At 48.5% G+C, this 23880-nt stretch overlaps 1 long non-coding RNA gene across 1 annotated transcript, besides 3 other annotated features; it reads left to right on the forward strand.

The window, feature by feature from the left end:
- Positions 1 to 4842: 4842 nt before the first annotated feature.
- On the forward strand, positions 4843 to 6084 carry LOC124903519 (uncharacterized). The gene is made up of 3 exons (XR_007064699.1): positions 4843 to 4925; positions 5125 to 5306; positions 5850 to 6084. It is a non-coding gene; the product is annotated as an uncharacterized LOC124903519 (long non-coding RNA).
- Positions 5143 to 5650: an enhancer, noted in NCBI's record as "H3K4me1 hESC enhancer chr15:70719956-70720463 (GRCh37/hg19 assembly coordinates)". NCBI's record gives its function as "activates a minimal SCP1, AML or CMV promoter by ChIP-STARR-seq in naive H9 embryonic stem cells {active_cell/tissue: H9 hESC(naive)}" and the evidence as "EXISTENCE:reporter gene assay evidence [ECO:0000049][PMID:30033119]".
- Positions 12985 to 13188: a silencer, noted in NCBI's record as "fragment chr15:70727798-70728001 (GRCh37/hg19 assembly coordinates)". NCBI's record gives its function as "represses an EF-1alpha promoter that drives an FKBP-Casp9 reporter gene in an ReSE screen in K562 erythroleukemia cells {active_cell/tissue: K562}" and the evidence as "EXISTENCE:reporter gene assay evidence [ECO:0000049][PMID:32094911]".
- Positions 13999 to 14048: an enhancer, noted in NCBI's record as "active region_9686". NCBI's record gives its function as "activates an Ori minimal core promoter by ATAC-STARR-seq in GM12878 lymphoblastoid cells {active_cell/tissue: GM12878}" and the evidence as "EXISTENCE:reporter gene assay evidence [ECO:0000049][PMID:35858748]".

Consider the following 23880-nt stretch of genomic DNA (forward strand, 5'->3'; position numbering starts at 1 on the left):
CTCTCCAATCCTCATGGCCAGCCATGGTGTGGACTTCGGAGGTTACACAATAAGGCCAAGTCAGCTGACACGGAAGCAAAGAAGACCAGGCTGGGACTCAGAGAGATGAGACATGGTAATGCAGCTTTGGAAACCCAACAGTGATCCCTGAGCAGTCAAAGGAACATTTGCTGGAGACAGAAGGAAGAAAGAGGGCTCAATGCAGCCTCCAGCATTGCCTTCCTCTGGGGGTCTTTTATGCTCCTTATAGGCAATATTTGCCACCTCCCCTTTTCTTTTCCTGGCAGAATCACAGAGACCCAAAACAAAAAGTGACTTTGATCTGCTTAAGGCCACTCAGTGAAGAGATGACAAAGCTCACCTTCGGCCCATATCTCTGGATTTTGCTCTACTGCATTCCCTACCACACTAATTGTCTTGCCCCCATGAGGCAGAGTGATGGTTGGTATAGGACTCTTGTGGCCCCAGAGCTCCAGGATGTCTGTGATGTACCAAATCACCCCTCCATCCAGTTGGGATTGGGCCCTGGGTCTCTATAGCTCCTCCACATCAGAGGGGCAGACAGCCAAGGGACACCCCGCTTCGCTGAGGAATGACTGCATCACTGCATGCTCTCATGGTCACAACAGCTTTCCTTCCAAAGTGGGAGGCGATCAGTCCCCATCTCCCCAAACCCAGCTCTGGGCATGAGACACCAGACCAAGAGGGCATAGCCCTGCTTTCCCATCCCCAGGAGGGGAGTGGGCACATCTGCTGCTCCTCTGCCCAGTAGCCTGCTGAACTCAGCTCCTGGGGGCTACATTCCCCACCCTAACTCCCACTTAGTGGGGCTCATCTGCTTTCCTGGCTTCTGCCCATATCCCTGGTCAAAATACCTGGCTCAGCTGAACCTTGTGATCAGCAGTGCCCTTGAGAGTGAAGGAGCAAATGGTCAGTGCTCAAATTCCAGCTCTGTTACTTGCTAGCTGTGTGATCCTGGGCACTTTAGTTAACCTCTCTGAGCCTCACATGTAAAACAATCATGATACTAACTCACTCACAAGATGGTTGGAGGGATTCAAAATTAACCTTCAAACAAGACCATGTATCATCACCGATCATTCTGGAATGTAGGGGGGTACCTGTGCCCAATAGTTTATGTTAGCATCAGCAACCACACTCTCTGGTCTTCACTCTTTACCCCCGAGGCTACCCCCTGGGAACTACATTTTCCAGGCTCCCTTGCCTGCTGGCTTCCCGTTAGGTTCAGCCAACAGGAGACACTGGTGGGAGATTAGAAGGCGGGAAGGAGGGAGAAGGCATTTGTCTGCTCCTGGCAGAGGCCCTTTGGCACTATTGCAGGCTCCCCAGTTCCGAGGGTGGGAGCTCCCAGCAGATGGGTCTTGTGGGCCCCATTGCCCAGAACAGGAGCAGCTTCCTCCTGGTCTAGGGGTAAGAACCCTCATCTTCCTTTTGCCCCTCTGACTCTTTTAGCCCCCTTGTAACCAATTCCCCTTATTAAATCTGCTTGAAACATCTAGAGTAGCTCTTCTCTTCCTGCCTGGGCACGGACAGATGCCATAGACAATGGATGCCCACGTCTGGAGGATTTCTCACTTACCCTGTGCATCCTCCACTGAACTGTAGCTCAAGCCCTCCTCAGTGCCAGAGCCACCTAGGCACCCCCACATGACTGACACTCAGAGCAGACCCAGACTCGAGCCTCAGTTTACCTTATTTCTAGGATCAGTGACTCAAGACCTTGGCCCTCCTCTCCACGAGGGGACAAGCCTTTCTGTTCTAATTAGTCAGATACCACACAACAACATCTCAGTCAACCATGGACCACATATACAATAGTGATACCATAAGACTATAATCCCAAATTGTTACTGTACCTTTTCCATGTTTAGCTATGTTTAGATACACAAACACACATTGTGTTCCAGCTGTCTGTGGTATTTGGTAGAACAACATGCTGTACAGGTTTGTAGACTAGGAGTAATAAGCTATACCATTAGCCTAGGTGTGTAGTAGGCTACACCACCTAGGTTAGAGTAAGTACACTCTATGATGGTCACACAATGATGAAATTGATGCATTTCTCAGAACACATCTTTGTTAAGCAACACGTGACTGCACTTTCTCCCACCAACCCCAGCCTTGGCCCCCGCAGTCCTCAGCTCACTCATTCCCCACCCCTGTCAGGTGCTCCCAGCCATTCTGGTAGGACAGAATCCTAGAATGTGTGCAGCTTCCTGCTGACCCCTTTGACAAAGCAGAAAAGAGAACAGCTCTGCTATGAGGATGGGTGCCCAGCACAACTCAGAGGTGACTCTGAGGCTGGAGCAGCCCTGTAGAGATCTTCTAGTCCAGGCTTTGCTCATAAGAATGGCAAGATATTATTATGCCCATTGTTCAGATGAAAACACTGCTGTGTGAGTCTGTTTGCATTGCTATACAGGAATACCTGAGACTGGATAATTCATAAAGAAAAGAGGTTTATTTGGCTCATGGTTCTGCAGGCTGTCCAAGAAGCATAGTGCTCGCATCTGTTTGTGGTGAAGCCTCAGGAAGCTTCTTCCAATCGTGACAGAAGGCAAAGGGGAAGCCAGTGTGTCACATGGTGAGAGAGTGAGCAGGAGAGGGAGGAGGTGCCAGACTCTTTAAAACAACCACATTTCATGTGGACTCACCATGAGAACTCACTCATTACCACAAGGATGGCACCAAGACGTTCATGAGGGATCTGCCCCCACGACCCATTCATCTCCCACCAGGCCCCACCTCCAACCTTGGGGACCACATTTTACCATGAGATTTGGAGGGGACACAGGTACAAACCACATCAAATGAGCTCTAAAGTGACTTGCTCATGGCTGTCTTCTGGGAAAGGCTCCCATCTGCCATCAGCACTCACCACTTCCTCCTGTCAGTTCCTGACAACTCCTCTGCCCTATTTCAGGTGTTCTTGGGGTCGACACGCCCCTCAGCAACACACAGCCCTCAACTCAGGCTGAGTCCCATATTTTGGACTTTTCCAATCTTGAATCCCAAAACAGCACAATGTCTTGGATTCTATCTCTGTCAATTGCTATTTTCTGCCAAGGAAGTGAAAAAACCTAATTCATACTAAAGTATCAGCAGGTCAGTGTGTCCTTTCTTCCTTAGAAACACACTTGTTTCTTAGCTGCGGCCTTCAGCAGGGCCTCTCTGTCCAGCTGTGCAGGCTGTGCTCTGCACCACCCTGGTAGGTCTCATCCACGGCATGGGCCACGTGAACAGCCCTCCTCATCCACCTAGAGTTGTACATTGCACATTTAGACAGTGCCCTGCCTTTCCAGACACAATGTTGAATCCAAAGGAATACATTGCTAGAAAGAGCTCATGACAGGGGGTTGAGAGACCCAGGCCTGATCTGGGATCTCACATGAGCCATTGACTCTCTCTGATATTCTGTTTCCTCTCCCAAAAAATCAGAGCTCTGCAAAATATATTTGTGCAGAGCTGAATACCTTAAAATATTTATGCACACACTTTCTCATTCAATCACATAGCAGGCAAGGCAGGCCCCATTCTCCCCATTGCAAAAAGGAGCGAACCGAGGACCAGGGTGTTGAGGACTTGCCCAGCATCTCACAGCTCAAGAGGACTGGAGCCTGACCTTGGACCAGATTCTCAGGCTCTCTACCGAGTCCTCCCACACTGACATGGGGAGGAGAAGCTTTCTAAGCTCTAAAGTTGTGTGAAGGTTTGTGCCCAAGTGGCATGTTGGCCATCTCCAGCAGCACCATGGCCAGTGTCATGCCGCCTCGGGGGCCCGTCGACTCACTCCCCAGAGGTGCCTCTGCCTCCGGCTTCGGTTCAGCGCTGGCTCCTCGAGGTGCCAGGTGGAATCCCAACATTTTTTCCGCCTTCCTCAGGCCTGGCAAGTGGAGCCCAAAAACAGATGCCTAGCACCTTGTTCTTGGCGAGAATGACAGATTTTCGAGTCCCCTTCCAGGAGCCGTGCTCGCTTCCCCGGCATACATACTGTGTCAGCCCATCCTGAGCTAGTGAAAATAAACAGTGTCATTATCCCTCCGCTGGCTGCTGCACAGTCTATCTATACCACTTAAGACACGGGATAAATGGCTTCTCAGTTTCATAATGAAAGGAATATTTCATTTTGCAGAGCTGAGGAACTGTTTATTGAGCATAAAAACAATATTTATACTGTGTTTTGATAATAAACTGATCTAGAAGTTGGTTCATTTAGGTGATGACTTGGATGTGACTCACTCCTCTCCTCTGGAGTTGGTATGGGTGGGGAGTGCACAGAGCCTGTGATCTAGGGGGTCACAGGGCCCTGAAACAGCCTTTCCACTTTCTGTGTTAATACTCAGAGTCTTCACAATGATTCTAGGAGATGGCTGTCACTATTACCCTCAATTTACAGGTGGGGAAACTGAGGCATGGAGCAGCTAAGTAGCTTTCTCAAGTCATAGGTCTAGTAAGTGGCAGAGCTGTGAATTAAATGTAATCAGATAGGCCAAGCACAGTGGCTCATGCCTGTAATCCCAGCACTTTGGGAGGCCAAGGCGGGAGGATCACTTGAGGTCAGGAGTTCAAGACCAGCCCGGCCAACATGGTGAAACCCCGTCTCTACTAAAAATACAAAAATTAGCCAGGCATGGTGGCAGGTGCCTGTAATCCCAGCTACTTGGAAGGCTGAGGCAGGAGAATTGCTTGAACCCGGGAGGTAGAGATTGCACTGAGCCGAGATTGCGCCACTGCCCTCCAGCCTGGGTGACAGAGTGAGATTCTATCTCAAAAAAACAAACAAACGAACAAACAAAAAAATGTAAGCAGACAGGCTCCAGAGCCCATTCTCTTAAACATTTCGCTGGAGATTTGTTCTCAGCCTAAGAGAAGTCTAGAGCATGGCAAGAATACACCAGCAGGAGGTGAATGAGAGACTTTCATAGCTTATGAACATTGAGCCCAGCACTAGGTCTTTGCCCCAGCATTGCTCTGCAGTCCTGATCGCAGTTTCCCGAAAATGGAGCCAGTGGGGGAGTGGGTGCTGGGACCTTGCTCCAGACGACTCCCCCTTTCAGGATCCTCCTGTCCCTGCTTTTTGCAGACAATGCCTCCCATTCACAGGTTCTGCCTCTGTAGCTCTGGACAGTTACAGCCAGGCCCTTCACAGGACTCCTGCTCAGAAATGATGGAGCCATCCTTGCTGCTGGATGTGACCTGCCTCCACCCCTTGCTGATGTGGGTCCCTGCTGGAATCTCCACTCTGCCTGCACCTCCCCCATCGATGCTCTGGTTCACTCACAAAGGTACCGGATAGGGAGTTTATGATAATACTTGCAGCCACCAGGCGTTGCTAGGTGCCAGGCACTGTGCCAAACAGTTTTCATGGGTTATTGTTCATCTTTACAGTAGCCAAGGAAGTTAGCATGACTTTCCTTGGTTTAAAAGACAGACTCAGGAAGGTAAACTAACTTGCCTAAGGCCACACAGCTGGTAGCTAACAGAGAAGAAATGCAAATCCAGGCCTGTCCCCTCCCAGGCCCTTGGGCTTTCTCTACTGTGTCTCCTCTCAAAGGCTTCAAGAGTGAGGCCAGATTAGATAGATTGTGCTGGGTTTCCTGCCCTTTACCCTCTACTCCAAAAAAGTGTCTAAATTTCCTCTCGCTGCCTCAGTCTGTCCCTGAAGTAGGCTGAATAATGGCCCCCAAGGATATCCACATCCTAATCTCCAGAATTCATGAGTATCATCTTACATGGCAAAAGGGACTTTGCAGATGTGATCAAATTCAGAATTTCAAGAACAGGTGATTATCCTGGATTATCCAGGAAGACTGTACCTGTAATCACAGGTATCCTTCAAAGAGAGAGACTTGACTGCAGAACAGAGGACGGCAATGTGACATCAAAAGAAGACACTGGAGAGTTGTGGCCAGGAGCCAAGGAATGCTGCCAACCACCTTAGATGCTAGAAGAGCCAAGGAACAGGTTCTCCTCTGGGGCCCTCAGAAAGAACCACCTCTGTTAACACCTTGATATTAGCCCTGTGAGACTCATTTTGGACTTCTGACCTCCAGCATTTAAGAGAATAAATGTGTGTTGCTTTAAGCCACGAAACTTGTGGTAATTTGTTATAGCAGCAATAGGAAACTAATACAGTGCTATTCAGCCCAATCTTCCAGTGTAGTCCTGATGCCAAAACAAGTGTCCCGTGGACTCCATAGATACACCAGAATTTGTCACTGTCCCAGTATAGAGTCAGGAAACCACATCTCTATTTCCATAGTGTTACCACTGAGGAGAATCCTGAAGTTCAGAGAGGGGAAGTGACTGCTTAAAATCCATCCTAAATTCACAATGATGAAGATAGGACTCAAATCCAGTGCCTCTTGCTTCCATATGAATCTTTTATCTACTTTTTAAGGCAATCAATAACTCTAAAAAGTTACAAAGAAAAAAATAACTGTGGGATCTCAGAGTTATTTCTTTGTGTGAGTGAGTGTGTGTGTGTGTGTATGTTTCTCTCAGCATTATTTTGTTTTGTTTGTTGTTTTTTTTGTCCCCACAGCAGATTATGGGCCTATGGTATAAGTAAGAGAACATTATTCTGAGTTAGCAACATTATTCCACTTGCCAGTTTAGGGCTTTTTTGATGAGATAAGATAACACTAAATGTTCACCCAAACATTTCGTGTGCCTCTACGCAGGACTATGTGACTAGCTCTGGTCAAAAAATGTGGTGTGGTGGAAGGGAGATTTGCCACTTCCAGGCCTTGCCCCTAAAACCTCAATAAACTCCCCTTTTTAGATGCACCTTGCCCATTGGCTGGGCCGCTAAAGACCTCGAGGAAGACTTGGAAATACTGAGGGCCTGCTAAGGGTTAGCAGAGCCTAAGCTATGTAAAAAGAAACTAGATCCCTGAGTCACCACTTGGAGGAGAGGTGCCCAGCAGAGCCGTCTGACAGCAATACCCACATTGGACCTTGCAGCAGTGATAAATGAACTATCATTAGGTTAAGTCACTGGGAATCTGGGGCTTGTTACTGCAGCACAACTCAGCCTATCCTGACTGACAAAGATGGGAAGATGGTACTCAATGCCTCTCAGGTACTCAACAAATGGCATTCATTACTGGAAGGGCCTTTAAAATGGAACCACTTCTGTGGGTGAATATCAGATAGGATCTGTGGTATATGTCTATATACACCTTTCTAGCTTCACCTGGAAATTCACTGAAGGACTGAGAATTAATAGCCAAGAGTGGTTACAACAACCTAAGAAAAATGGCTTGTTAACTTAACCAAACTTTCCTTCTACTGTTTCCCCTTAGACATCATCCCATCTGAGAGAGACCAGGACTGAGGTTTCTTGGTCCTGGCTTGAGTTCTTCTTGATGGGATTTTCCTGTCTACCACTCTTGAGGATCTCCTCATAAAGACAAGTTATTCCCGGAGAGAGGGTCAGGCCCTAGGAGAATGGGTGTGGCCCTGGAGGAAGAAAGAGGAGGGGAGCAAGAGAGAGGGGCAGGGTCTATGTAGGCAAGAGTGGGGGATCAGTCCTGGGACCTTCCTTTCCTCTGTCCCCCATCTCTGCACCACCACCCTCTCCATCCTCATTTTGAAGGAGATGCCATCAGAGACTTTGGGAAGTAGATCTAAGCTTAGCAGACTCTGGAGGTTGAATGGGCAATAGACATAAAAAATCATGTTCTTATGAATCATGTCCCAAGGAATCCTGAGAAATGGGAATTACAACATACCTAGGGAAGGTTTAACCTACTGTATCTTATCAAGTGTAAGACACGTTTCACAATCTGACATTGTGAAATCAGAATGTGTATTACAGCCAATAGCATGTCACAGTGTCATCAGCAATGCTTTAGATTTTTTGTGGAACATACAATAATCATGTCTTAGATTAGACAAAAATGTGGTAGAAATGTAGTCAGAATCTTTTTTTTTTTTTTTTTTTTTTGAGGCAGAGTTTCACTCCTGTTGCCCAGGCTGGACTACAATGGTACAATCTCGGCTCACTGCAACCTCCACCTCCCAGGTAGAGTGTTTCTTCTGCCTCAGGCTCCCGAGTAGCTGGGACTACAGGCGTGCACCACCACGCCCAGCTAATTTTTGTATTATTAGTAGAGATGGGGTTTCACCATGTTGGCCAGGCTGGTCGTGAACTCCTGACCTCAGGTGATCCACCCACCTTGGCCTCCCAAAGTGCTGGGATTACAGGCGTGAGCCACTGCACCCAGCCAGAATCATTTTTAAAAAGAGCATTCTTGTGTTCAACTAGAAATTGTAATGGGGCATTTAAGTCTCTAGGTATATATTAAGATAGCAGGAGCTAAATCTCTGAGTCACCACTTGGAGAAGAGTGGCCAAGCATAGCAATTTTCAGATTTATAAAAAACACCTACATGGTGGTATTTAACAACAAAAAAATTAAGATTGCAGTATTTCAGAGTAGAATTATACATGTGATATTGGAGTAGTGAACACTGGAACTACAATTTTTATATTGGGACTATCTTTAGGTAAATGGGAAAATGGGTAGGACATGCCTTTCATGTAGTAGACATTCAATAAATGGTTGTTTAATTAATTATTTTTAGAGTCTAGGTCTAATAAGTAATCTTTATTTAATTCTCTTCGTCTTAAATTTTGTTTCTCTTCCTTCTCCCCTGCGCTTTCTTAATTTTCTATCATGGGATGCATGGGGAAAACTTCAAATTTTTAAACATTTCAAGAAACTTCTCAGCCTTCAGGTCCACTTCTTTCCTATTTCCCAGCCCTTCTCTGAAGCTCGTAACTATTGCCAAAATATGAACATTTTCAACTTGTCAGTGTTACAGGCTCTTTGAGTTGTCGATTTTCTTCCTGGAAACCTCTATGGCCAGTGGTGCCTTTGCCCAAGTTCTCATCCTGTGTCCAGGAAGAATGAGGTACGCAGACAAGCGAAGAGTGAAGATGAAGAGGAGCTTTATTTAGTGTTACAACAGCTCAGAGGAGACCCGTATGGGTAGCTCCTCTCCATAGTAGGTCATTTCATGGTGTGTTCAGCTCTCAGCAGAGAGGAAGCCCTGGAGGGGTTGGCTCCTCTCTGCAGGCAGGTCATTCAGACATCTCTGCAGGTCTCTGAAGCTCTCAGCAGAGAGGGTAGCTCCTATCTGCAGCTGGTCATTCCATCTCTCCATCCTCTGCCCTGCTCTGGCTGAGCCCAGGGCTTTTATGGACCTCAGAGGGGAGGAAGTACATGCCAATTGGTCCATGGGCGGTCACGGATGGGCCTGCAGGAGGCATCACAGGTCCCCTCTCCACTGTGACTGACAGCCTAGCCCTCAGCCTTCAGGCCAGGGGACCTTACTGGGGACCTGCCTCCTTCCACCCAGGAATCTGTCTGCTTCCCATGGCCATTCATGGTCCCAGGGCTTGGCCCCACTCCAAGATCAGAGAAGGCACCAGGAGAGGAGAGAGGCCAAGCAGTGGAAACAGATACCCCTGAGCCTGCAGGGACAGGGAGGGGCCTTCCTGGGTCCCCAAGGGTGTAGGCTGCAGAGATGCCGGGTCCCATGCCTGGGAGGGTGGCCGCAGCTGCACCCAGGGAGCTCCCACCACAACACAGAAAGGGCGGGACTCCCACCAGCTCCATGGAGTGTGCAGCCCCAGCCGTGCCTCCTTGCTGCAGCCTGTGTGATAGCAGCAGCCACTGGCATCATCAGGTCCAATGCTCAACACTTTCCATGCATAGTCTAGAATTTTGTGAATCCTCTTTTTATGGCTCTTAACTCACCCTGCCTTGAATTTTAGCTACTTCTCTGCTTGTAAATCTCTTAAGGCAGGAGTTAGGTCTTTGGGTCTCTGTTAAGAGAGTTAAACCCCTTCATCTAAGGTTGTAACTAGCATTTAGCAAGTACAGATGCTCCTCAACTTACAGTGGGGTTATGTCCTGATAAACCCATTGTACACTGAAAATGTCAAAAGTTGAAAATGCATTTAACACACCTGACCTACCGAACATCAGAGCTTAGCCTCCCCTATCCAAAACATGCTCAGAACACTTATATTAGCCTACAGTTGGGCAAAATGACCTAACAGAAAGCCAATTTCAAAATAAAGTGTTGAATATCTTATGTAATTTCCTGAATCTTGTACTAAAAGTGAAAAACAGAATGGTTGTATGGGTACTCAAAGTACAGTTTTTACTGAATACATATCACTTTTACAGTGGTTCAAATTGTAAGTTGAACCATTGTAAGTTGGGGACTGTCTGCGCTCTCATGATTGCGTAGATAAAGGGATGACAGATGAATGGATAGATGGATGAGTGAATGGATGAGTGGATAGCTGGATGGAATTATTTTTATACTTTTTACTCTTAAGTCATTGGAAAGAGACCAAAACAAAGGTCCCCTATGACATCAGAAAGTTAGAGGTTCCTGAGGCAAGGATGGATTTCGGAAGGCACAGCCTTCTGATGTATTGATGTATTCAATACTGCAAATGAGTAAAAATGATAAAGTTCCTGCAAAGTCCAGAAATCCAGATGGGTGTCTGCCCCTGGCCAAATACACATGATATATTCTTATTAATAAAGCCAGACTAGTGTCCTCAAATTATTCAAGGAATACATTTGCCCACCCACAGCAGTGGGGGAAGCGATTACTTATTAATAAAGCAATAGCTAAATCTAATTATATCCCCATCAGAGGCAGCTGGTAATAAAACCAGGCTGGTCTTCCAGAGCTCGGTGACCCTGCTGACCTCAAATCAAAGTTTAAACCATCAGTCAGCTTCCAATGCATTCCCAGCACACCTACCAATTACGAGCGCCCTGGTGCCGCTGTCTGCCAGGGGTCAGAGGTCACCGCCTGCACTCGATAGCTGGGAGCTGGAATGGGGCTTTAGAAATCTCATTATCCTGTTAACCATACATTTATCTGACAAGATAAAAGAGACTAGGTGACCAAGCTATCATTAAAGATTAATAGAAAGTATAAAAAATTCAGCTGCAACCAGCATTGCTGTTTAGAGCTTGTGATCGGCATGACAGGGTTATTAATCAGGAAACCAAAAAGATTTCGGTCTTTGCTCTTGATATTTTCTATTTTTATTTTTAGTTTTGTTTTTTCCCTCCCTCTGTCTGAAGTCATTACCTCGTCTCCTATCACCCCAAACTGGAGGTCAAAGGAGACTCCTGCTAATTGGCTCTTCCGGCTTCAAATCATAACCCATTGGGCTAATTAGAAAATTGCCAGGACTCAAGGTGACATGGGATGCAGCAGGGGACGCTGGTGGACTGGGACAGCGGTGCCAGCTGCTTATTGGGCTGCCGCCCTTCTCGCGTGCCAGGCCTGTTAATCAGCAGGGGAAATCAATACATTTTAAATTTAATTCAGTCCTGTAAGGCACACCCAAGCCCCAAGATGATTTCTCCTCATTCGTGATTCCATTTCAGTTTTACATGAAAGATTTTCAACCCACGCCTACCCAGGAATCAGAGGGCAAGCTCTGTTTTTAAGGCTTAGGGATTCTTTTTATTCTTTCTAGTTCTCTCTTATCGCCCACCCACCCCTGCCGACCAGCGTCCTCCCCACGGCATCCTCCTTCGCCTTTTTGATCATAAATCAATGTCCTTTTCCTCTGCTGCCCTGGAAGATGCAAGCTTAGATGACAACTCAGCTGTTCCCCTTCCGCCCCCAGGGCCAAGGCAAAGAGAAGCCAGGAAGATGAGCCAGTGAGGGAAGGTAGAGGGTTTCCAGAGCAAAGAGGCAGCTTTAGTCAACCCGTGGAAGGGACTTGCAGACCCGGACGATCCTTAGAAGGCTGATCAGGAAGCGACATTGACCAGGGGTGCCTGGCATTCTTCCCTGCCCTGGGATCAGCGTGGCCTCAGGAGTGCACCCAACAATGCCATCAGGCTGCCAGGACCCTCTACTGCCAGCTGGGTGACCTTAGGAAAGTCAGCTGGCCTCTCTGAGCCTGCTTCCCTGGGTGGACAATGGGGAAAACCCCTCCTTCTTGGGGTTGTTTGAAGATCAAATGGAATTCTTGAGCACAATCTCTTCCATTGTAATGGCTTCCTGGCTTGCTCCTACTTCCTCCCTGCTCCATTAAAGCTTAATCTGATAAATCAATTAAGGATAAAATACTATTGGCTGACCTCTGGTTAGTTGCCAGAGTTCAAGGACAACAATTTATTCCTCTGTGCATCTTCCTACCCCCAACCACCCCCCCGCTCCACCCGCGCGCGCGCGCGCGCACACACACACACACACACACACACACACACACACACACAGTGAATTGTCTAATGGCCTCTTCTTCCAGATAGGAGACACTCTTTGTGCCTCCATAAATGTAGCCTGGCACCAGTAAGTCCTGTATAAGTACTTAGTAGATAAAGGAATGAAAGCCTGGCCAGAGGGAAAATCCAAACCTCCTGCTAGGAGGAAAGCCAAAGGTCAAAGTTGGGTAAATAGGGGAAAGGAACCAGCCCCAGTAGCCAAGGTAGGTGAAACAGAAAGAAAAATCAGTAGAGAAGAGACAGGTTGGGAAGAGGAGTACAAGGTAGGTCAGGAGAGTTGTCCAGGTCATGCAATGAACAAGGTCTTCTGGGCTTTGAAAGACACATGACTGTAGCTCTGTGGCTTAAGGCTGGACTTCATGGTTTCTAGGACCAGACTGCTCTGGAGACCATGGAAATTGCACTGCCCAGCTGCGTGCTGGGGAGTCCTGGTGAAAAGACTGTTTCATTCCACTGAGAAGCCAAGGAAGCAAAGACGCGAAAGGGAGAAATAGGGAGGTTTCTGAGCAAGAGTGGCAAGAGGAAAGTGCTATTTCAGGGAACAAATGATTAGTGATGTTACACAGAACAGGTCAGAGGAGGAAAGAATGCAATTGGGGAAACTAGTGAGGATGCGGCCCAGGGAAGACTCAATGAAGACTGAGGCCAGGGTGACGAGGGTGGGAAAGGACACAAAAGAAGTAAACAAGAAAGGAAATCAAGACACAGACTCCCTCTCTGTGCTCCTCAGCCTGCTTCTCACCTTCCCTGCACCTGTCTCAGCCAAAGCCAGCCCTCAGGGCCCTCCCAGCCCCATGCCCCCGGGGCCAGGCCCAGTTACATCAGGTAAATAAAAAGGAAGTATGTGGTTTCTTCTTTCATTTCTCTCTCCTGACTTCCTCTGACTGCCAAAATTTGTCTGTCCCATCTGCAAAAATGTGACATTTTATATTCAAAGCAGTGCATGTCTAGTTATTTACTAGATGTGCAGCTAAGACATAATTACATTTAAAGTATTTTCCCCCAGGAATAGTCTTCCTTTAAGCAACAGTGCTCATTGTTTGAAGATCCTACATTTGGCGAAAAGAGTTCATAATTGCCTTGTAAACAGGTCTTGCAGACAGACACAGCAACAGCTACTTCTAAAACCTCCTGGAAGATTCTGGGGCTGAGAAAGTTGTGTATCTGTGTGTCTGCACATGTGTGGGTCCATGTGTCTGTGCATGTCCATTTGTGTGGGTGTGTTCTAGGTATGTGTGTGTGTGAGAGAGAGAGAGCACGTGTTTATGGAACACACGTCTGTGTCTTGTGTGTTGTGGAGGGGCAGAGCATGAAGAAGGAAACTAGTGTCTATTGAGAGCCTACCATGTTGCAAGTGCTTTGGGCATGGCCTTATTTAATCTTCAAATATTCTTGTCTCAGTTTAACAGCTGAAGAAACTGAAACTTAGAGAAGTAAAAGAACTTGCCCCAAATTAATCTGCCCATAAGTTTCAGAGATAGAACTCTGCTTCTCATAGTCTGTCTAGTTTGTGCTAAAAAGACTGAAGAAATAAAAGTACCATGTTGTGTTTTCACTCAGTGGCATACTTCATATTTTCTCAGATTCATTCATATATAATCATGTATATATCATTTTCTGAGTCCCTCCTGTCCTAGGCATTGTGGTAGAAACCTTACATATGCAATCTAATGCAATGCTTACCACCTCTCTGGAAGCGGGTTTATTATTGCCATTTCAGAGATTTAAAAAAATGAGGCATCAAGGGATTAGGTAACTCCCCCTCACAGAGCTGTAATGCAAAGGCAGCTTTGTTCAACTCCAAAGCCCACGCTCTTGCCCTTACATCCCACAGACTGGCTTCATTATTACTCAGTTTTGAGTCTTGAGAATTTAGAGTCTAGGTAGGCAGGAAAAGCATACATGTGACAACCAGAGTTATCACATGGTGGTCTGTATGTGAAGGCCAGCAGCTACCTTACATCACCAAAACTCAGATTATCTCCATCTTCCTGCTCTGCTACCCTCAGTCTGTCGGCTGCCTCAGACTAGTTTTCCTCATGGTTACAAGACAGTTGCCAGAGTTCCAAGCATTGCAAACAGCCTTGACTATACCCAGTGAAAGAAGGTAGACTAGTTAATTCTTATTTCTCTGTCTTTTTTCCTCTTTTTAAATCTTCATTTATTTTATTTTATTTCTACTATATCCTTCTAACTTTTTGTCTGTGTGTATACATAGAGGAAGTTTGGGAAGATGTTTACCTGTTGAAAAGGCATCTTTGTGTACTTTGATGCATGGTTTGATTTGTTTTTGTAATGAACATACAGAATTTTTTAGAAAAAATAGTATCTTTTAAAAAATGATGTCAGTATTCAAAAGAAATGAAACTAATCTCACAGTGTCATTCACCTGCTTAAGGTGCATCATTGGCTTCCCCACCACAGACCGGATGAAGGACAAACTCTATGGCAGTTTATAAGCCCTTCTGTCATGTGGCCTCTGTGTTCCTGCCGGAGGACTTTGGTCCTCAAACATGCAGATGTTTCTGTGCTTCCCGCCTTGGTTCCGGCGCTCTCTCCTGCTGGAGAACCTCCCTCCACTGCTCCGTCAGTGGAAACCCTGTGCCTTCCTCAAGGACCAAACCAAAAATACCTTGCTCCTTGCAGCTTCTCCAGGAAGCTCAGTCAGGAGATATTGCTCCCCTATCTAGAGGCCAGATTTTTGTGCATTTTGCATTGTGGTGAGTTTGGGTCAGTGGCATGCTGGAGCCGGTGGCTTTTTTCCACTCTTGAGACCTGAGCCTGTGCATCTCTTCCCAAGATGTCATATTGGTGTCTTGGAATCGGCCATGGAGAGAATATTTATACCATGGGAAATGACAAATGCTACAATTTTTTTTTCCTTAGGGAAGTTAGTTGTTAAACATTTACCAGCACACCTTCAGTTTGGGTAGGGGTCCATCTCAAAAATTGACTCAGAATTAATTCAGGGAGGCCTGTCTTATTTCGCTCCAAACTCCATCCCTCATGCTGCTAGCACAGTGCTGTGCTCAGTTCTAGAAAATTAGCTTTTGCAAGCAAAAGGGCAATCCAGGACTCCACTGTCATTGCCCCGCTATGGGAGCCAGCCAGCCCATGGCCCTGGGCTGGGGCTATAAGAGCTGCTGCAGTGCAGATTTCCTTCAGGCCTCCTGGAGACCTTGGGCCCCACCTGTTGGAGAGGGAACAAGCAGGGCTTAACAGGAATGATGGAGATGTAAAATGGCCCCAGGCCATCCCAAATCCCTAAATCTTACACAATAGAGAGGCTTAAGTGACTCAGTAAATGAGCCAAGGAGTTCAGGTCTTGGAAAATGCAAAGTGGTTTGCTAAACCATCCCGAGCAGCATTGATCATCAGCTTACTGGTGGTGTCAGAGGGGCCCATCCAGTTCCCTCAGGCACTGTCTGTGCTTTTCAAGAGAGATTGCAAGTGACAAATGAGCACAAGAGGCAGGCCCTGGCAAAGCTCAGACCGGATCCCTGAATCCACAGATTTACAGCTTCAACCTGCAGCAGGCCCGGTCTGTGCATGGCCGGGGTGGAATTAGGGGGCTGGGAGCCCTTCAGAGAACTAATACAACCATGAGTCCAAGCCACTCACATCACAAAATCGTGTGGCCCTCAGAACCCATACCTACATGTGGCCCCAAAGCCGTATGAGAGATCTGGAACAGTATCCTTCAGAGGCAGACCCCAGAAACTGGGGTTCTGACATCCTTAGTCCCAGAAAATGCCCAGTCTGCAGGTCATTCTGAATCACATTTGTTGAAGAAATAAATCTGAGTTCTGGCCTGGCCTTTGCACTGTGCAACCTTGGACAAAACGCTTCTCTCTGGGCCTCGGTTTCTCCATATGGACAATGAGGCACTTATCGAACTTTATGGGCTTAGTGACACCCTCTCCCCACTTCAGCCCTGTCACCTTCTGTTCCTAGGTATTTCGAGCTGTGTGCCCCACATAAGAATGCAGGGCAAGACTGGGCGCTTGCAGAGGTTTAACTCACCCAGCTGGTCTGCACAGGCCAAAGCTTGGGGAGCCCCAGCTTCCCTGGCTCAGGCCCTGTGCAAACCAGTCTCTCGCCCTGTCAGAGGGAGGGACTGCTCCCTGGAGCCCACCCAGCTGGCTGGGAGCTCTCTGCGTGCCTGCCACTGTGTGACAGTCATGCGATGAGAGGGAAGCTCAGCACATGTCCCCAGCCACCATCAGTTGGCGGTTCCTTGAGTGGAGGGATGTCAGAGGCACGTCAACACTTTGGCGGCTGCTATTCCAGGCGGGCGAGGCAGGCAGAGGGCCTGTGGGCGCCTGAGTCTGCAGAGCCAGCCCTCGGGGGAAAGGAGCCAAGACACAGAAGGGGCTCAAGCTGCCCTGCCCCTCACCCCACAGCCTTTGGGGGGCTGGGGAGAAAGTCGGGGATCAGAGAACTATTTTTTCCTGGGTTTTTCTGCCCATTAAACACTTTATAATTTGGTCTCATTTCTTTCTTGATAACTCTACAAGGTAGATACTATACCATTGCCCCCATTTTTCAGAAGAGGCTCAGTGAGGTGGCATGTCCTGCCCAAGGTCACTCAGTCCTCGAGAGCACAGAACTTTCTGGATGACAGCCACAAGCTACTGAACACCACACTCTCAATAAACCCAGTGTTCTGGACTGCGCGTTCACGTCTTCCCCAAATTCCTATGTTGAAACCCTAACCCCCAATGGGATGGCGTTAGGAGGCAAGGGCTCCAGGAAGTAGCTGGGTTCAGATGAGGTCGTGAGGGTGGAGCCCACATGATAGGATCAGTGTCCTTAGAAGAAGAGAAAGAGATAAGGGTGCACTCTCTGCCTGCACAGACCAGGGAAAGCCACGTGAGGACACGGGCAGGAAGAGGACCCTCACCAGAGCCCAGCCATGCTGGCACCCTCATCTCCAGCCTCCAGAGCTTCGAGAAATAAGTTGTCATCTAAGCCCTCTGGTTTGTGTTATTCCTTTACAGCAGCCTGAACTGACCAAGACATCTAGGAAGTAGGTGTCACCCATCCACTTGCTCAACACCCCATATTTCACCTGTTAATGGCGGGGCCCATCTACTCCTAGCCTAGCTGGAGGTGCCCTGGACCCCAGTGTTCCCCAGGCTCCCCAGTGTCTAGAGTATCTTGTGGGGATGTCCACTTAGGACAGGGGGTTTAGTTTGGGAAGCCTGGGTGGGGTTCCCATTCATATGAGGTCCAGGGCGGGTGGGGTCAGGCAGGCTGATGTAACCAACCCCCAGTGGGGAGCCAGCCTGGGACCCAGATTTCGGGCCAGCCTTCCCCTGGCACACAGCCCCAGTGGGGACCCAGCTCAAGGGACAGGCTAGGAGGCTCTGGCTCCCCCTGCCCCCCACCTCGCACGCCTTCTCCACGCTCCTCCCACCAAGCCTCTCCAGGCCCCCACTGTTGCCCATCTCATCTCTCCCACAGGAATAAGCCCTCCATCTCCTTTCCTCCCAGTAAGCTTTAAAGGTCCATCAGAAATTGCTTTAAGACCCATTAGGCAACCACCCCAAAATTGGCCCAGTAAAAACAGGTTTGCCTGCTTTAGAAACCAGGCCACCCCACCCTGCACATGGCTCTTCCCTCAGAGGGCTTTTCTAGAAGGGAGGGGGACAGGGATCACAGATGAACCAAACCAATTTTAGTTCTCTTATCCCTCCTAGGAGGAAATTCAAGCTCAGAGGCTGGCCGGCTCACCTAAAGGCACCCAGAGGGCAACAGCAAGAGCTGGAATCCGGGCCATCCGGGCTTGCCTGTTCCAAAGCCCCTATTTTCACCAGACCCTGCACGTGCTGCCGCCATTGTCCAGACTCCAGTTGCATGAGGCAGCTCTGTGAGTTATCGCTTCTCCCAGCCTCTGGGGACCCCCATCGTTCTCCACAGTTAATATCAGGCCTGCCTTGGGCATGGCCCTGGGACCCTTCTCAGCCTGGGGCAGTCCCAGCTCCCATACTCTTCTTTCTTTATCCCCCACCCTCCATGTGTCCAGGGCTCCTTGTTGCCTCTCTCTCACTTCCATCTTCAAAGCAGGTATTGAGAGCCCAGGGCAAGCTAGAGACTCCGGTTGTGCTGGAGATAGAGGTGACTAAGCAGAGTAAGCTCCCTGCTCTCAGAGTTGATATCCTACTTGGGGGAGGCAAGGAAATGAATACATCAGTAAGATCATCTCTCACAGTGAAGAGTGTCAAGAAGGTGGCAAAAGCAAAGTGAGCTTTCCAGCCTGTCCCCGGCTGTCTTGCCCTGCGTAGGGCCTCACAGGTCCCCTCACTTCACCTGGGTAGCAATCACAGGAGGGGAAGAGGAGGGGGCCAGGAAGACAGGGAAGGAAAGAAACGCCAGGCCAAGCCCTTTGGAGTGTGATGTTGTATGGAACTTCCATACTGACTGTGGAAAGTAGAGATTCTCCCCAGTGTGACATGACAAAACTGAGGGTAAGAGAGGCTGCTCAAAGGCGTAGGAGCCAAAGCAAACTCCAGTTCTCCTGACTCCCATCCGGTCCAATGCTGTTTCCAAAACACACTGCCTCCCATGCTCAAGATGGGGCTGTAGCCATTTCTCCTGTTCCCAGCCCGCATAGCCCCTAACCTGTGACAGCCTCCCTGCTCCTACCCCTGCTATAAATGGCCATGATGTGCAGCCATGGCTGAAAGCACTCACCGAGGTATGCCAGAGACAGTCCAGCTGATGGAGCCATCTCATAGGAAGGCATTCAGAGTTGTCATTTCTTCATGGGCAGTGCTCTCCATCCAGCTGTGTATATGCATTTGGCATCTGCTGTGTGCCACTCTCTCGGTGAGGTGCTGGGCATACAATGAGGCAGGCAGAAGCCTGGCATTCCATAGCTGGGCACAACAGCTCATACCTGTAATCCCAGCAATTTGGGAGGCCGAGGCAGGAGGACCACTTGAACCCAGGAGTTTGAGACCAGCCTGGGCAACATGACGAAAACCCTTCTCTACAGAAATTACAAACATATTAGCTGGGCATGGTGGTACGTGCCTGTAGTCCCAGCTACCCAGGAGACCAAGGTGGGAGGATCACCTGAGCCTGGGGAGGTGGAGGCTGCCATGAGCTATGATCATGCCACTGCACTCCAGTCTGGATGACAGAGTAAGACTCTGTCTCAAAAACAAGAAGCAGCAGCAGTCTGACACTCCAGTGAGAACACAACCATCCGGCCCACCATCACAGAAGTCAGTATGGAATCCCAGACTGGGCAGGGGCTGTGGAAGACAAGACAGGGTGGCACAAGAGCGTTTGATAGGAGAACTGTTGGATTCCAGAGGGTCCCTGAGGAAGGAACAACGATCTGGCATTGAACAGGCAAGGGGAGGGTTAGAGGGAGGAGGAGACACAACAGAAGGAGCAGCCTGTAGGAAGGTACATGGTGTGTTCTAGAAACTGGGAAAAGGATGGGTGGGCTTAGAAGTAGAAGCAGCGAGGAGGGATGGAAGAATTTGGAACCGGGGCTGTCAGCAGGGGCCACACCATGTGTGCAGTGGGCTGTAGGACATGGGGAAGTATTTGGCCTCGATCCTGAGGCCACAAGGAGCCCCTGGAGCTCTTCGACGTGCCTGAGCTTTTAGAAGATGGCCCGGCAGCTGCGCGGGTGCAAATCTGCCAGAGACGGCAGCAGGACATCTGTCAGGGTCTATGAGTGGTGCCCAGGAGAGACGATGGTGCCTTAGAGCGAGGAGGTAACAGTTAGAGGGGGACAGGCGATAGGTTCCAGAGACGTGAAATCCAGGAGGTGAAATTGAGAGGTGGGGATGAGGAAGAGGGAGACTAAGGGTGATCTGAGTTCTACTCTGTCAGTGAACACAGGTGGGAAGATCTGATTTTGGGAACTGCAGCCCACATGGATGAGACTTGCTCGAGGTCTCACTGCCAGGCTTGATCCTGGATTCCGGACTCCAGCTCTGTTTCTCGGCATCTTTCTCAACACGCAGCCCATGCCGAGAAGAGCAGGGTGCCACTGGCTCTTTGTCCCCCTAGACCAAGGGCCCTGGCAGACAGAGATGGCCCCAGTCATCCAGGTGGGCCCCCACCCCTGTTGCCCCATGGCATCACACACAGTCCTGGCGTACAGGGGCCCGATGGTGCATGTGTTGGGTTAGTATGGTTGACCAGGGATCCAGAGAACATGTCTGAGTTCTAATCTGTCCCCAGGGAGTCATACCTCTTGGGAACCCTGTTTAAAATATTGTTTCTGAGGATGAAATCATATCAGGTTATGCAAAAGCCCTCTGAGTAGTACCAAGCCATGGAGGAATGTAAAACATTTTCATTGCACAGCACAGGGAGGAGCTGCCTAGGAAGCTGAGAAGGAACGGCATGACAGGGGCGGGTGCAGCCCAAGCAAAGGCATGAGGTGGGGAAAGCGCGAGGCCACTGCAGGGAGGTGGCAGGTAGATCACAAGGGGCTTTTGTATATATTATCCTGCGGCTCGATCTTCACAACAGCCCTGTTCAGGTAAAATCACTCTTTCCTTTCTCAGATAAGGAAACGGAGATGAATAGCACTGCAGCAGATTTCCCCAGCTCACCAGATCCTAAGCAGCCGAGCCAGCTCCTCTCACCCGCAGGTAGCCAAGCCCTTAATAGATGGGAAATCACTTGCTGAGTTAAAAGTTAAAAGTGACTTATTGATGACAACAGTCTCCCAAGGATCTAGCTAAGGAAGAATTTTCAGTGGCCAGGACCTCTGAAGGTCCAGTTTAATCTTCCAAGGCAATTTGGAGAAAGAAATTGGCCTTTCTTGAGATGGACTGGAGCAAATACATGTGCTCTCTTCAATTTTGCAAGCACCTGTCTCCCAGAAGCAGGGGTGGAGGCAGACTGGAGGGTGAGGAGGGGCGTCCCTGCCAGTCTCTGCCTGCACTCTTCCCCTCCCCCAGCACCTCCGGAGGGGTAGACAGGGAAAAAGAGTCAGCGGTGATACTGTGTGCTGATCAGCAACTTGAGCAAAACTTAATTGCTTCCCTGAACCTGAAAAAATATCAAACTGCATAAATAAATGTGCTTTAAATTATTAATAAAGGCATTCACATCTGGAGTTGGAGCATGAAAATTAATTTAATTTTTTATGCTAAACGGGCTGGTGTGGCATGTGATTTAAGGATTCAGAGATACAAAGGGCAGGGAAGAAAAGGGAGACAGAATGTATGCTATCTTGGGCATTTTGCATTTAAAATCTCAAAAACATAAGAAAGAGGAACGAGTAGAAAGAAAGGGCGGGAGAAAGTTCTTTTTCAGACGCAGACTCAGGCAGCTTTAATTACTGAGAAACAAGAACATGAAGTTACCTCAGGGCTTCTGCAGTTTGAAGTGAACCTGAAGACTGGCAGAGCCCACATTTCTGTGAAGGTGGTAGTTGCCCGACTTCCTCAAGGGGCAGGCACAATTAAACCCGAGGTTGGGATGCCCATCAGATGCACTTGGAAAGTAGGTCTGAGAGCATCAAATAATGTCTGTGTGGCTTCAGGGAAGGGACCCAGAGCCCACCGACCCCTGCCAGCAAGCCGGCCTGACACTTGCCCGGCTTCTGGAAAAAGGGTGGTACCAAACAGCCCTGGGTCTGAATCCCAGTTTGGCCACTAACTGGTTGAGTGACCTTGGCCCAAGCTTGTCCCCTCTGAGCCTCAGTCTCTTCCTCTGTAAAGTACGTTAATAACGCCTGTCTCACAGCATTTTTGTAGGGGCGTAACATGGCATCTAAACATTGCTGAGCCAGAGGCCAGACACTGTTAGGGCAGGTGATGGCCCCATCTACATTTCCCAGGCCCTTTGAAATCCCTTGATGTGCCTAGGTGTTTTTGTTTTGTAAGGGAGAAAGGAAAGGAGATGTGGGGTAGGGGGCTTGGTTTGAGGGGCGAGAGGAGAAAGAGAGAAGATACGGGACCCCTGGGACTGAGTGGAGCTCTGAGATCCAGATGCTTGAAAAATACTTCGTAAGACGATGGAGAGAGAACCGCATGCAAAGAGGTGAAGTCTCATTGCCTCCGGTCTAGTGAGCAGAAAAGTTGGGATTTTAGCAGCTCCGGCCAGAGGCCATGCCCTGAATGACAGCCCCTACTGCCTCTCACTTAGCAAATTCACAGATCTGGCAACACTGAACTTGCAGAACTGTGTGAGGACCAAAGAGGGCCACAGGGCACCTTGCACTGAATTGGGCTCTCAAAAAAAAGTGTTCCCTTTCCTAGGCCATGGGGCTTCCCAGAGCCAAGCTGGGACAGAAGGACAGAGATGAGTAGCTGAGCAGGAGTTCCTGGGGAATAGGTGCCCAGCTCCAGGATGGCCAGCATCGGCCCTTCCCCATGGCTGCCTCTCAAGCTGGAGCGCACTCCAGGACCTGAGCATCTGCCTCTGTCCTACCTTGACCTTTCTGCCTTTCAAAGGGTCAAAAACACAGCTGCTTCTTTTTCCAACAACTTCCATTTTCATTGCAATTAATTCATGCCAATATCCATTTTTCTCTGCTTTTTGCTGTTCCTTCCATGATTTCTGCCAGTATCTGAAAGGCCATGGCTTAGTAGAAAGTGTTGGCTGTAGAGTGACGCAGGCCTGCATTCGAAACCTGGGGGACTTGGGCAGGTGCCTCTGGGCACCCTGGGTTCCTGCCTGAAAAACAGAGATGGTAACGGTCCCTACCAAGGTGGTTGGGAGGGGCAGGCAGGACTTAAAGGTCAGCCACCTCCTGGTGCAGGTCTGCCCCGTGCCATCACTGCTGTTGGTATCACTGTTCCCCCTGCTTGCCCCTGGGACCCAGCCCAAAAGGCCGCAAAGTACAACAGAAAGGGCACGTTTGCTGTGGGAATACATCGAAAAGAAAAAGGAGGCACCTGCTGCAACTATTTTTTCGTGGTTTTTGTTTCTCAAATATTGACAATTATGCCTTCAAGAATGCTTCCAAAATTGTTAAAAAAAAAATTCTTTAAATAAAATTTTAATTAACCCTTATGAAAGATAGTACATTAATTAGTTCAGGTTGAAATTATAATACAGCAGAGGTCCATTTTATTGTCTATCTTTAGATTTTATTGCAAATCAGGGCTCCTCTTGTAATCACAGTGTGAAGTAAACATTTACATCCATTTTATAGGACTTGAAGCACAGTTTTATATTTTACATGACGATAGACATCTACAGCTGCTGCCTCCATTATGACACAACTATTGGTCACTGCTTTGATTTAGTTGTCATTGGGATGTTTGTTGGCAACATCATCCCCAATCATTGCATGGCTCTTTTGGAGAAGTGTCTTCCATTTACTTTCTAAGAACAAACTATTAAGGGAATCAAGGTGTTTCTGAATTACACGTGTTTTGTGTTGAGCTTGAGGGAAAAAAATCACATTTTCTCAGAAATTGCTTTAACTGTAAGTGGGGTCAAAAATTTCACCTGGGGCCGGGCACGGTGGCTCACACCTGTAATCCCAGCACTTTGGGAGGCCGAGGCCGGCAGATCACTTTAGCTCAGGAGTTCAAGACCAGCATGGGAAACATGGCAAAACCTCATCTCTACAAAAAACACAAAAA

This window comes from Homo sapiens, chromosome 15 (genome assembly GCF_000001405.40).
Source record: "Homo sapiens chromosome 15, GRCh38.p14 Primary Assembly".
Taxonomy (NCBI): domain Eukaryota; kingdom Metazoa; phylum Chordata; class Mammalia; order Primates; family Hominidae; genus Homo; species Homo sapiens.